General features: G+C 33.4%; 1 protein-coding gene across 16 annotated transcripts in view; it reads right to left on the bottom strand.

The window, feature by feature from the left end:
* Positions 1 to 14,565, bottom strand: part of EPHA6 (EPH receptor A6) — a 946,939-nt gene that overhangs the window by 313,265 nt on the left and 619,109 nt on the right. For 7 of the 16 annotated variants that reach the window (XR_001740110.2, XM_017006211.2, XM_006713592.4 and 4 more), the window contains one exon: positions 96 to 143. The exons of 4 other annotated variants lie outside the window; for them this stretch is intronic. Coding sequence is in view for 7 of the 12 variants with exons in the window: in XM_017006211.2 (XP_016861700.1) it covers positions 96 to 143 (48 nt within the window). In the remaining 5 variants the exon portion in view is untranslated. Of the gene's footprint in view, positions 1 to 95; positions 144 to 434; positions 551 to 6,795; positions 6,853 to 8,610; positions 8,662 to 14,565 lie in introns of those variants that run through there. 5 more of the 16 variants (XM_017006217.2, NM_173655.4, XM_017006215.2 and 2 more) reach the window with 4 other exon arrangements.

Genomic DNA, 14,565 nt, shown 5'->3' with positions numbered 1-14,565 from the left:
GTTTACACAGAATGGCAGCTGCATCTTGAGCAAAATGGGCACACCAGCAGAGTGCAAGGAGCAAAGGTGGGAGAATTCAAGTACCAGCTACTCACTTCTACCCGCAGGTAGTGCCAAAATGCCGGCGCTATCCGTGGGTAGACCTGTGGGTGAAAGGAGAAATAAATTAATTGCTTTTTAAAGTTTGAAATCTTTTATCCTGAAGTCATTCACTTTGTGCTGTAATTCAGTGTTTCCCCAGTAGTAAAACCTGAAGTTGAATAAAATTTAGGAAATAAAATAATGAATTTTTTCCTGTAAGGGAGAATTGACTCCTCCCCTAAATATAGCTTATTTTTAAACATATACTAGTTACATAGTGACTGTGAAGTAGATTTAAAAATAATCTGCCCATGAAGAAGCACTGGAAACACAGAAAGGCATGAAAGACTTACCATACCTGCAGAATCAGAGGCAGGGCTTGAGGCTTGGTTCTCAGTCTCTTGCGTGAATTGCCAAATTATCTCACTTCACTAAATGGAAGTGAACTTGCCAGGGCATTCTGGATGATCTAGACAGTCAGGGTTTGTTACATGGTCTCTCTTGCCCACTATCTCAGAACAGGACAGTTCATTTTACCTGTCCATGTAAGAGATTGTCCACAATATGCTGGTGGTGGGGACAAATTAAACCTACACTGTTTTTGTATGGTGTTATTATTCAATAACTTTACAATGATATTTTAATAGGGTATCTGGAAAAAAATGCATTTGTGTAAACAAAAGTCATAGGTCAAGCTAGGTCAACAGGCCCTCAAGTTAATTTCCACCATCCTCATAAAAACCCTAGAGATTTTCAGAGATGCAAAATGACTTTCAAGGTCACTAGTTGAATCATTCATTTGATGCTTAAATTCTGTCTATAATATTCCCATCAAAATTTCATTTAGTGTTTGCCTGAAAACCACTGTTATTTAGGAGACCTTCCCAACTAGCAAGACAAGTTATGAAAATGTACACATATGGAGAATAGGTCAAACTTCATGTATTTGCTGGTGATGCTTTAAGATTTAGAACTATGAAAATCATTTCTCTTAAGCTACTTTTCAGAAAAAAGTCTTATCTTAAGGATCATTTTTAAACTTTATGACCTTCCTTGTCAGAACTTTATATGCTATTTGGTTATTCTGTGTCTAGCTAAAGAATTGAATTTGCCATTTATACCCCAAATAATAAAACTGCTTATTAAACATAAAGTACAAGGAAAAAAATTGAATTAAGAACAGCAACATTTTAAATAAAAAAAGACTAAACCAAAAAACTGCAACTTATATTTATCTCTAGGTGATTTTAAGATTAGAAAGTAAATAATTATTTATCAACCTAGCATAAAATACAAGGAAATAAAGTCTATAAATCATCGATGGTGACAGTGAGCTGTTAGGGATTAAATGTAGGAGCTTGCTCATATCAAGGCCTTTATAATTAGGTGGCTTAAAACACATATTGTGGAGAAAAAATACTTGTGAACTATTAGAAAAAAAGATATTGTTTCTGGCAGGAATTTCTAGAACATTTGGATTTTTCAATCTCATATACAAGAGGAGGATATGTTACTTTTCACAGAATTTCTACAACGTAAGAGTTATGGTGCATTTTGAGTGCTGTCTCACAGTGTGAAATGATGACTGAGATAAGAACTTTAAAGCAATGAAAAAAAGCATTTAGTCTCATCCCAAAAGAGAGAAGATATGGTTCAAAAGTTTACTCTTAGAATGGCTCCAGGATAATTACATATCTTATCCTTGTTGCTTCCCCAAAACATAGCTAAATAGTAACTTCCTATTCAGTAAAGTTACAGGGAATAAAGGACACCTTTTGCAGGCAGCTTTTAGTATTTTTGTTGTTACCTACAAAAGTGTACCTGTAGCTAAATCCTTGGAATAAAAATCAAACAGTAGGAAGTGTACTTAAGGGGTTCTTCAGCCCGAATCACTCACTACCGGTGAGTGCTGCTGCCTTGTCTTACGTCTTACAGCTTGCTGACATGATGAGGAAGAGGGTCCAGGAAGAAGCAGTCACAAGAATTCTTCACAGTACACAGCAGACCTCTCTCCTCCTGGTGTTTTTAAGCTCTTGGGAAACCAAGTTAGCTTTTGTCTATGATATGCATAGGTAGGACACTATCGTCCCAGAATTTTGGCCAGTTGCCTTTCTGCTGACGCATCAACTCCATTTCAAAGGTGTTGTCACCAGGTAGCGACCAGGCTTTGCCACAGAGCCATTGAGATGTTTTCTTCATCCTGGCAGGTTGAATTTTGAATATGTTTAGATAGGGTATGTTGGCGTGCTTTTCTGGAGTTTGTACCATGATGGCATTGCTAGCTGTATGACACGTAAATCTTCAACTTAGCTAGGGAACACGTTCCATTGTTCATAAAGTTCTGTTTTTCATCTTTGCTGAATGTGTGATAAAATTCCTCTTCTCATTCTTAATATTATTTATTTTTATAATTTCTTTTTTTCATGATCAAGCTTTCCAGAGGTTTGAACACATTTTTGGCTTTTTCCCCTCTATTTTTTTTTAATCTATTACATTTGATATCTGTTCTTACTATAAATTTTCTTTCTTCTTTGTACTTTCTGTTAGATATGTTGTCTTCTAACTTCTTATGCTTCATGCTTAACTCATTATCAGCACATTCTTTCAAATATATAATTTAAGCTTACAAATTTCATGCTAAGTACTGCTATAGTTATACTTCATAAGTTTTCATACAAGGTATTATTAATTAGTTCTAAGTACTTATTAATATCTAAAAGTATGATTTAAAAAATTCTTTGTGGGAGACCAAGAACTATTACTTGCACATTTTTGTGGATTAAGACATGGTATCAGGGAGTAAATAAATGGCATAAAGTGAACCTCCAAAGGCATAGTTGCGTGGGTTGCAAAGCATACTCAACTGTGAATAGTGCAGTGGATGCTCATTGGCTGAGAGCACTGGCCATCTTGTGCACTAATGCTTGTCGGCTGAAAGTGAATCAGCTTGTTGCATGACCTCTCCTCGGATGAGCACAGAAAATAGCACCAATTGTGAGAAAAAATCATTGAGAAGCAATGAACTTTAACACATTTTAAGTTGTATCATTTTCTAAAATAAAACATACATACAATTCCTGTTTGACATATTTGTATCCAAATTAAAAAAAAATAGTTTGGAACCAAATAGTGTGAACGTAGAGCACTGTCAAACAGGGCAGGCATATACTGTTCTCTAGAGATGTTGACTTTTACCTATGGTTCTCTTCCCATGGGAAGACCCTGGCACTTATATTTAGGCACTGCTCCTTCCAAGATGCTGAGAATCAAGGCTTTTCTGGGAATCATACTGTCACACTGAATCTTTCGTTTACCTGAAATACTGAACTTAGCTTTATAGGTGTCAACTTTTCATGGTAACTAAAATGGACCCTCTTGCTAGAGTCTGGAACCTGTTAGCATTCAATCTGAAAACTATAACTTGGTGAAAACAAATAGGCTCAGGTGTTCAGACCCTATGGCTATATCTTTCTACAGTCAGAGATAACAGGGCCTGTATCAATAGAAGACAGCATGGAAAAAATTCTAGGTTAGAGTTCTCCTGTCTTGGATATTATCTTGATTCTGCTTCTATTATGTACCCTGGCAAATTACCTTTTAGGTTTTGATTTACTCCTCTAGAAGACTCATTCATTCTACAGACATTCATTGAATCTCATGGTATGTATAAGGTTCTAGAACACTTTGTTAGGTGTAGCTTACGTAATCACCAACGTTCTACCTAGCAATTCAATTCAATATTTTTTTAATGTCAGAAATGCAGGTGTTTTTCCTTCTGCTATGAATCATTGTCATCATTCCTCATCTCCCTCTCTTGGGTTTACCATTTCCATTTATGGGAATAGATTCAATAGGCCAGCATAGTGGTCATCTTTTAGCTGGTTTGCTTTCTCCTAAAGTCTTTGGGCCTATTGGGATTTCTAAAAGGTGTCACCTCTTTGTTTTATTTTTAATTTTAAATTAATTGGATTAAATGTAAGATAAAAATTATATTTTATTTTCTAGACATATCTATGTAAAGATATAACAACAATCATAATAACAATGATTTATGTAGAGCTTTACAATTTACAAGGTGTTTTCATACACATCTAAAATCTAATCTTCATAATAGTCTTGTGAAATAAGAACTGGTAATATTTTTATTTCCATTTATCTATGATCAAATTAGTCCAGAAAGAATAAGTAAATTAGCAAAACAAGTCACACAACTTGTCAGTGGCTTCCATCGAAGTTGTGCTTTTTCCACTACACCCCATTTAAGCAAATATGTCCAGAGTATATATGTCTATGGATTAGACTGAGCCAAAGTAGTTTTTTCCACACTTTATGTTCTTAACTATCTATACACTAGAAGTAACTAACACACCTTATGGACCACATAGTAATGATTTGTTGGCTAATCATTAGACTATGTTTATATGAACAACTAGTTCCTCAATTGGAAGAAAAAATTCTCAACACCAAATGTTTAAATACACATTTCAAAGGTAAAATTATTTTCTATTAAGGTTAACAAATCCATGCAGGCTGCCTTTATTTTTATTTTCTATTAATTTTATGTCATATAGGCAGATATTAAGTAATATAGGAGGCAAATAAATCACCCAGTCTTGCATGGAATATACAGTATTCTCGTTCAAGCCTGGGAATAGAATTTGTTTAATAAAGTCCAGGAGACTCTTTTAGAAGTTTTGATGTGTAAAGATAACTTCTTGGCTTTAAGTCATACCGATTTGAAAATATAGGTGCAAGTGCAGGAATAGGTCCAAGTGCTATTAATATGTAGTACTCTACTATCCAAATCTTTTTTTTTTTTTTTTTTTTGCGATGTCTTAATTAAGACAGTGGTAAAGCTCTTGTTCTACTGGCTAGAGGACTGAAGCTACAGGTTGTTTGAGAAACAAAATAATATAAAAAAGGATATTAATGGTTCCACTAGAAGTCATCTAAGTCATTTACATCCTTTCTCTCTCCGTTTCTGTTTGACTTCCTCACCCTGCCTCTCTGTCACACTCACAAATGTACACACTCACATTCATCAAACTGTGGAGATGTTTCCAGGATAATCCTCTCAAAATAAACAAAAATAAACGAATTAAAACCACATTTAGAACATGATTTATTATCTGCAGAAAGGTATTTTGCCTGGATAAATCAAGAATTGCAGGGCCTAGGAACCTAAAGTTAGAAAGGCTATCAAAAAATCTTATTGCCTGAACTATGGCATTAGCAAAGCTGAAAGTCTTTTACTTGAATGAAAGGAAGATATTTCACATGGCTCTGGGAAAAGAAAAGTTTGAATACTAGATTTGGTCAGCCTTTAACAATTACTTTCCAAAGGAAATAGACACTGAACCCCGTGGACTTTATTTTGCTGACCCTTTTAAAAATGAGTTCTACCTGGGTACACATAGTCATCATATTCTGGCTGAAAGAGTCCTTAATATTTTTCATATTTCTACTTTAATGTTGCAATCTTCTGATTACTAATGTGGATTCTCAAGCTCTGTAGGGGCAAACATAAATATATTTGTTCTTGGAAAGGGCAGACTTCTGTATATTTAATACGTGAATATTCTGGTTTGTTCTTCAGTCTCTCTCTCTCTCTCTTTTTGAGGCAGAGTCTCGTCCTGTCAACCAGGCTGGAGTGCAGTGGTGTGATCTGAACCTCTGTGGTTCAAGCGATTCTTCTGCCTCAGCCTCCCGAGTAGCTGTGACTACAGGCACGTGCCACCACACTTGGCTAATTTTTGTATTTTTAGTAGAAACGGGGTTTCACCATGTTGGCCAGGCTGGTCTTGAACTCCTGGCCTCAAGTGGTCCACTCGCCTTGGCCTCCCAAAAGTGCTGTGATTACAGCTGTGAACCACCATGCCCAGCCCTCTTCAGTCTCTTTTAGCATTTAATTAGAATAAATCAATTCCTGAATAGTTACCAACTCTGAGTGCACTCCAGTTCAAGATGTACAAAATAGAGTACCAGAATGAGTTATGTGTGAACCCAGGAACTGAGTTATACCACTTCTGTAAAATAGGAATAATGATAAAAGAGCTTATAGTCATAAAAAGTCATCCATTTCTATTCTTGTTTCTAAGTTGCCTTGATTCATCCGAAGTTTTAATCTACTCCTTTTTTTAAAGCTAGTTGGAGAAAATCTTATTCTACTCTAGCCAAATCATAAAGTATATGTTCTTTCTTTGTAAAGCATAACTTAATTATCTTACAAAACTTAAAAATAACAGTTTTTTAATATATGTAGAAAATGTCTCTCCTAAAGGTTGAATGAAATAAATCATCATTTTCTCTCTGTTAGTTAGAAATGTTTACTTAGAAACTCCGAGAGAATTAACTTAAAAAAATTTTAGAATTAATCAAGAGAAGTCAGTTACATAGTGAACATGCAATTATCAGTGGTTTTCCTGTATACTAGCAATGACCACTTATAATTACATTTTAAATATTTTAGTCACTATAGTAACAGAAACCTTATAATACCTAAATATATCACAAAAAGTATGTAAGACCTATATAACTTCATCTATAATATTTTACTGTGCAAACCAAAAACAATTTCTTATGTATTTTTTTTCTTATTGCAATGCTTTAGCATAATATTGCAAAGTAACAGTAAAAACAGAAACTTTTTCTTTTCTTCTTTAATCAAACAGATTCTAATTGTGTTATGGTTAAATATAATTATGTCTGACTTACATTTTTGGCAGATGTCTAGTTGAGGACGTTTTCTTCTTCCATTGTAGTTTTGTTTGTCTGTATTTTGTTTTTAAAATGTGAAATGAATTATGGATGTTATAAAACAATTTATCTGTTGCCAAGTGAATTTTATGTTTTTCTCAATAAAGTATATACTTAGGCAGAACTATCTTTGCATTCCTAAGATAAACCCTTCCTGTTAACACTTGTTCATAATATATTAGAATTTTTATTGTAATTTTGAATTCAATATGGTAATATTTCAGGCTAAAATTTTTAAGCATATACTTATAAGTTATCTCAGCTTACAGTTTTCTTTTTCAATCTCACGATATTTGGGTTATACTATATTTAGAGAACGGATTGTGAAACTTTCCACTTATTAATGTTCTGCAATAACTGACACAACATGGGAATTATCTGCTCTTTGAAAACTTAATTGAAATGGACCATGTTGGTAGTACACACTTGACTATCATTTAAAATTATTTTACGCTATATTCAAATCTTCTCCTTATTCAGTTTTGATAATTACCGTAAAATTATTATATTTCCTTTATATTTATTGATATATATTTACATCTAGTCTTGTCTTATTAAAAATCTCTTCCATACGTAAATAACATTTCCTATTATTTTTAGGTAAGCTTGTTTATTTGATCAATCTTTTAAAAACACTGGCTTTTGATTTTCAAATCAAATATTAGTGATTCTATTTCATTAATTTTTGATTTTACACTTGCTCATTCCTTCTAATTTATTTTTCTGCATTGGTCACATTTCACAGTTTTAGATATGTGAGGATCTTAATGTCTTTCATTTTAAATAGTTCATAATTTGTCTATTATGCTTTAATATATTATTTAATATAAAATTAAAATTTTTAAAATAAATAGATTGGAGATGTGGTGGGTTTTTTTTAATTTCTCTGATTTTGTTAATGGTTTGCAAATAATTATTTCTGCTACAGGAAATTTGTTGAAATTTTTTTGTCCTGATATAAGATCAATATGTATGAATGCTTTTAAGTGTTTAAAAATAATTAGTAAAATTTCAGAATTTTAGGAGCAATATGCTATATCAATTGAGGAAATCAAACTCTTTAGAAAATTCTTCATTAGAGAGTGCCTGTAAGATGTTTTATAATCTTCTAATATGACTATATATTTCTCAATTTGGCCTTATATTTCCAACAGATTAAAACTGTCCAAGGAAGTAAAAGACTGGCATTTGAATATTTTAAAGGTATTACACAGTAAGGAAATTAGACATCTTAAATAAATTAATCTTTAAATTCTTTGATTCTAACCAGCATTTAGCACTTAATTTTATACGATTTGGTCCCCTCCTCTACTTATTGAATGTGCATCCGTATGTATCCTAAAGTGGGCTGCAATTTCCTGAAAAATGTAGTTTACATTTCCCTCAAAAAACAAAACAAAATGAAACAAAGGAGTGCTGGATGCATAGTCAGTATTTAGTAATGTCAATTGATTGATATCCACAAAGGAATCGCTAAACCATTTAACATAAGGTGTACCTACTGCAGCTCTGGTCACATATCACTGGGAATTGAACTACTAAAATTTCTGCTTTGACATAGCGACACACATTAGGATACCTTTCAGCTCACACTGATTCTCCTATAACCAGATCTAACTATAATCTACCAGTAATGTAAGATGGGGCTGGCCAACTGTCCCAGAAACAAGAGCAAGCTAGAATAACTATATAATTCTTTTCCTAAGTAAATGAACCCATGATGAGAAACTTCACTGAACCCATGACAAAGAAACATCACTGAAGTTGAACAACCTTAGCTTTCCTGGTTTCTGCCTTTCTGAGGCTGGGAAGTTCCACTCTGCCTTGGATTCTCCATTGTGACAACATTAAATAGTAGTGGCAGCTGGGTTCTGTTGTTGGCAACCAACAGAGTTGTTGTCTTTTCTCGCATTCATTAAAATGCACAAGAAGAAATTTCTAATGGTGAGGGGTGAGTAGAAAGGGTTAAGAAGTTCCTTGGTGGTTTAAGCTAGTGGGTAAGGTGCTCTAAAATGTTTTTCTTAGGTAAAAATTAGCCACTGTTGTGGCAAAATTGCAAAATATGTATAAGTAAGAAAAATGTAGAAGTAGTTATTCCATGTACACAACTACTTTTTGACTGCATTTCTGGGGACGTATCATTAAGTATTCTACTACTATAATTTACTACAATCAACTCTTGATTATTCCCAGTAATCCAAAATTACAGATAACCCCAAATCACTTTGAAATGCATTCATGACTATTTTCATATATTCCTACCAATGTGTACCTTGTTTCACCTAAAATGAATATTTAATGCATTCCTGAACATTAAATATTGAACAGTAGTAGGAGAAGGCACAGAAGTACACTGATGATAGAGGAATATTGATCTGGAATTAAACATTCGTAATTGATTTTAATAAAATAGATAACATATATAGATAACGAACTGCTTTTAATAGTGATATTTACTGTTAGAGAAAATGGCCTAATTATTAAAGTGTGATCTTTTGAAAATACTGGTGCTAGAATGAGACCAATAGAGTCCTAGTTGTAGTCAGTTCATCTATGAAAACTGGAAAGGTTATACCTATATCAAAGGGTCAAGCTTGTTGTAAGATAAACCAAAATAATATGTAAAACTGTTTTACAGGATCCAGCAGGTGTGTAACGTAGCATTGTTTCTTTCTTTTAAGAGTAACTATCAATGGGTGGTGCATTTATTCCAGGGCAATGATAGGCTCATGCCTTAAGGTCATCTTGCAGATGCTGTGACAAGTCTTAAAAAATGTTGTGTTTACTTGCTTTTTAACCTTTATATTCCAACTACTTAATACAGTATGCCTAGCATATTGTAGGCTCTCATGATATATTGTCCAAATGATTGAATTAAAAAATGAATTAATTGCTCCATAAGCTTAGCTTTTAAATTCTTAAATATTATTAGAGCAATTAAAAGTTTGTTGGCATAAATTAATGACAATTCAAATGGGAGATGAGAAAAATTACTTTTGCTAGCATATAGTGCTTCTACAACCTAAATGTAATAATATTATGTCAGTATAGCATACTTGTTTTCTTAGGAACATTGTGGAGAATGTCCAAGATTTTACTTGCCAAAAATATTTTACAAAACAGTATGCTATACAGAAACTAAGATTTGTGCTGAAATATCTTTTAATACATATTCTTGATATTTATTCAGTTTTAACTTTCCCGTCTGTCTTCATGTAGCCTACCTGTAGATAGATGAGATACAGATTTTTCTTCTGTGCTTTACCACTCTATAAATATTTACAATGATGTTCAACTAAAAATTAAGTGTTTAAAGTTTGATACTTGGCCCTGAAGAAAATGCCTTCATTCCAACATTTCTTAATAGTATTTGTTAAAAGTATATTATAGTCAAACAACAACTTTAAATTTGTCATTCATTCTTAAAGTTTTAGATCATTTACTAGAATTTTAAAATCACACATAAATTTGGTAATAACAATATACGGATAGAAAAAACTCAGAAATATAAATAGCAGAGAGCAAAACATTTAAAGAATACATATTTATTGGACTACTGAGGATAGATAAAATGACTTGAAAGGGGGAAAATGGAGAGGAAAAAATATATTTATTATAAGAAAATTTGAGGCTGGGTGTGGTGGCTCACACCTGTAATCCCAGCACCTTGGGAGGTAGAGTCAGAAGAATCACTTGAGGCCAGGATTTGAGACCAGCCTTGGCAATATAGTGAGACCCCGTTTCTACAAAAACAAAAACAACAACCAAAAAATTGAGTATTACATTTAGTTTATGCATTCTTAGAAGAGTTTACAAATTCCTGCTGATGTCAGTAGTTTAGGTCAAGTATTAAAACAGCCACATAAATGCTAGATAAAAACAACTTTGATGATAAAAGTTAGCATAACTTAGCAACAAATGCCACTGAGAGAAAATAACACGCTAAGTATCTTTGGAAACATTAATACACATATGTTGATTTATTCAAATATAAATGCTATTCCAAATGTCAAACTGAACATTTTCAAAGTTAAACCATTATAACGACATGGCAGAATGGAGGGGCAGGAAACTAGAAAGGCAACATGTGCATGGTCCTTTGATTAATTATATCTAATTTTGGGATGCGGATTGAAAAACAACAAAAGTGGGGGAAATAATATATGCTTCAAAAAGAAAAATCTAGATGATGGATATTTTAATTTGCTTCACTATAGTAACTTTCTAAAATCATGCATATTCCATAACATCATGTTGTATACCAGGGTTGCCCAATCTTTTGGCTTCCCTGGCCACATTGGACAAAGAAGAACTGTCTTGGGCCACACATAAAATACACCAACACTAATGATAGCTGATGAGCTAAAAAAAGAAAAATCGCAAAAAAAAAAAAAAATCTCATAATGTTTAAGAAAGTTTACAAATTTGTATTGGGCTGCAGTCAAAGCCGTCCTGGGCCACGTGTGGGCCGCGGGTTGAATGCACTTGTTGTATCTCTTAATTATACACAATAAAATTTATCTAAGAACTATAGTGCATTGGATTTTTTTACAGTAGTGCTAACTGGATTATAGGACAGATTAAGAGTAATAAAAGGTAGCAGATAAAAATTCTTTGAAGATGAAATTACCAGAGAGCAAATGCTGGTTGACTGGCATCCAAAACTGTCTTTTGGTTGCTAGAGTTTCCAACAGAATTAAAGTAAATAAGAAAGCTAAGAAAGGTAAATTTTCACTAGAGTGAAATTGCCTGTAAAACATGAAAAATTATTTTGCAAGAATGTCTTCACTGAAAAACAGTATCATTTGTGAATATATGTAAAGTCACACATTTGTCCAAATCGGCCACAAAACAGTAATATAAGAGCTGCCTCTTGCATTGAAAATGCAGCAGAAATTCATTTAAATATATAAGCATGAGAATTCCTTACCCTCATTTAGGACAGGGGAAAAAACAATTTCTAATTATTTATTTTTCACTTTTTCCCATTTAAATGTATTTTGTCACCGTGGTGGAACTTTAAATTTTTTTTATATTTGTTTGTGAGCCTTAATTGTGATCTGATACCAATATATTTGTTTTGTTCAAAAACTAAAGCAGGTATCTCTTAAGATTGATTTACAAAGCTACAAAGGATTCAAGAAATCCAGTTTCTCCTCCCCAAAATAAAGATTTTAACATTCTTTATAAGTAAGTTATATAGTCTTGACTTGAAAATTATCCTATTATGCTCTAAATAACCCAATGTTTTCAAATAATGATCTAACTTCATCACTGATTTTGAATTTCCTCAGAAGATATCAAATGTGTGCCTCAAGATTTATAATAAAATAACATAAAATAAAGGCTTGTCAAGATACTGTAACTGGGAACTAAATATCTCATCACTGAGCGACTATAAGTAATATAATACTAATAAATACATTGTAATAATTGACAGCTTCCTGAAGTACACACCTTCGCACACAAAAGGTTTTTGTAGTTCTAATAAGGTGTTTAAAATTAAACATTTGAATGTGAAAATATCTGCAGATAGTTTTAAATGCGAGTAGAGTAATTCAAGGCAAAGCAAGGTCATTTTACAGAAACATTATGTTAATCTGCATTATTATCAAAGAGTGAACAAATTTATCTACTCATAAACCTAAGCTGGTTTTAAAATCAAATTGGAAAGAAAGAAAAATACCTAGGATGAAGCCATAAGTTAAATTTAGAGTAAAAGATAACTCCACGGCAGTGAAGAGCCCTGTTCTGCAGAGGTCACACATGTTGCCCATGTTAAATATTTATGGACTATGTATTTAGGGGTCTGGGAGCGAGTAATGGATGCTATTTCCTTGGTCAGGCAGAAATCTCATTTTCAAAGTTGGATAATTTCATCTGTATATATTGATTGTTGTAAATACATTGGCTCAACTCAATGCATAGTCCAGATTCAAATAACTGAAAAAACTCATTTGTGGAAGTTTTCTTTCCACAACTTTGTTCTTTATTTTTTCTCTCACCTTTTGATTTGCTTTTATGAATTAACTATTTTTTACCCTATAATATTTCCAGATACAAATACAACTACTAAGTAGACTTCAAGTTTTTAGGATGTCATGCATATTCAAAATTAATAAATTTGTTTTGACCCAGTACTGAAAATACATATTTTTAAATTATTACAAATGAGAAGCGAAGCAAATAATGTAATATTATGAAGGCCTAAAATCAAGCAGCATGGTAAAATAAAGATGTTTGTAAATTCTATTACATTCTTCTCATTGACAAGTCAAATCTGTGCTCCCTTTCCTTGAATCTGATCTAGTATATGACTGATTTGACCAACCAAGTAGGGTAGAAGTGATGAGCTGCCAGTTCCTGGCCCAGCCTCAAAGAAAACTGGCAGTTTAAACTTTTGTCTTGGAGCTCTGTATGGCAATCTAAGATGTATGGCTGGTCTGAGACTGCAACGCTATGTGGAAGCCCAAGATAATCATGTGGAGGAGGAGCCTTAGAAAGATGGAGATGGCAAGAATAAGGGGTAGGGAGGGTGGGAAGAAGGGCAAGAAAGAGAGGTGAGAGAGAGAGAAAGAGTATGATGAGATGATGCCTAGCCATTCTGCAGGTGTTCCAGCCACCAGCCATTGTTTCGCCATCCCAGTTGAGGTCCAGATTGTGAAGCAGAGATGAGCTGCCTCTGCTCTGTCCTGTCTGAATACCTGACTAATAGATTCAAGAGATACAATATTTATGAATTATAATTTTTAAGCCACTACATTTTGGCTTAAAAATTATGCAATAATAGATACCTGGAACAAGATTAAACATTATTCTGCATTTAACAGTCCTCAATTTTAATATGGAACAGTTCACTGATCCTATTTTTTTGTCACTAGATTGGCTGATGCTATTTTGCCTTCACACACAAAACTTAACCAAAATAAACACTACAATTATCTGGTTCTTTGGAAGGACGTATGACTTTTTAGCCTGAAATGACATGTCAAATTAGTCAAAATAAATCAATTGAAAGTTTACACAGGACATACTGCAGTTAACTTTTTTTTAATATGAACACTTTCATACTGCTTACTATGTTGTAGGCATGAAGAACTCTCAAAACCAAGAAAATTCTCAAAGCTACTATATGAATTAAGTCTTACAGATGACAAGATCACTCAATAAATTACTGATAGGGCTTGGATTTGAACCTAGGAAGTCTAGCTCTAAATTCTATGCTGTTACTTATTACACAATGCAGCTTCCAATGTGAGGTATTGCAATACAGCTAAATGTCACTAAGTGATTTACATATTACCTATGTTAGATTTTATATTTTCTGTTTCAGTAATATATTGAGAAGCACAGATGTAAGAAATAATAATATGGATTCCATATACAGAAATGTCACAATTCTAATCATAGTATAAGAATCTCTGAAATTCAAAGTACTTAGTCTAACATAAAAATTTAAGGTGTTTGGTGGTAAAGGATTTTCTCCATGGCCTGAATTAACACCATTAGAAAGCACCAAGCCATGGGGGTAGTAACCATCTGATGACTGTTCTCATGTATCCCGTGTCCAGGGACATGGGGCAACGTGCCTCTTCTGTGTTAGAGGGTGGAACGGATATGTTTGGTACTGCAGGGGATCTGGTGCTCTTCTTCTGGATTCGCATCCTCACCCAGGGCCCACTTTTACTAAGTGTTCTGCCCTAGCCTGGTTCAAGGAGGTCATCCACC

Source organism: Homo sapiens, chromosome 3, assembly GCF_000001405.40.
Source record: "Homo sapiens chromosome 3, GRCh38.p14 Primary Assembly".
NCBI lineage: Eukaryota > Metazoa > Chordata > Mammalia > Primates > Hominidae > Homo > Homo sapiens.
Note: the sequence above shows the minus strand (reverse complement) of the source record. Positions and strands in the feature narration are given on the sequence as shown.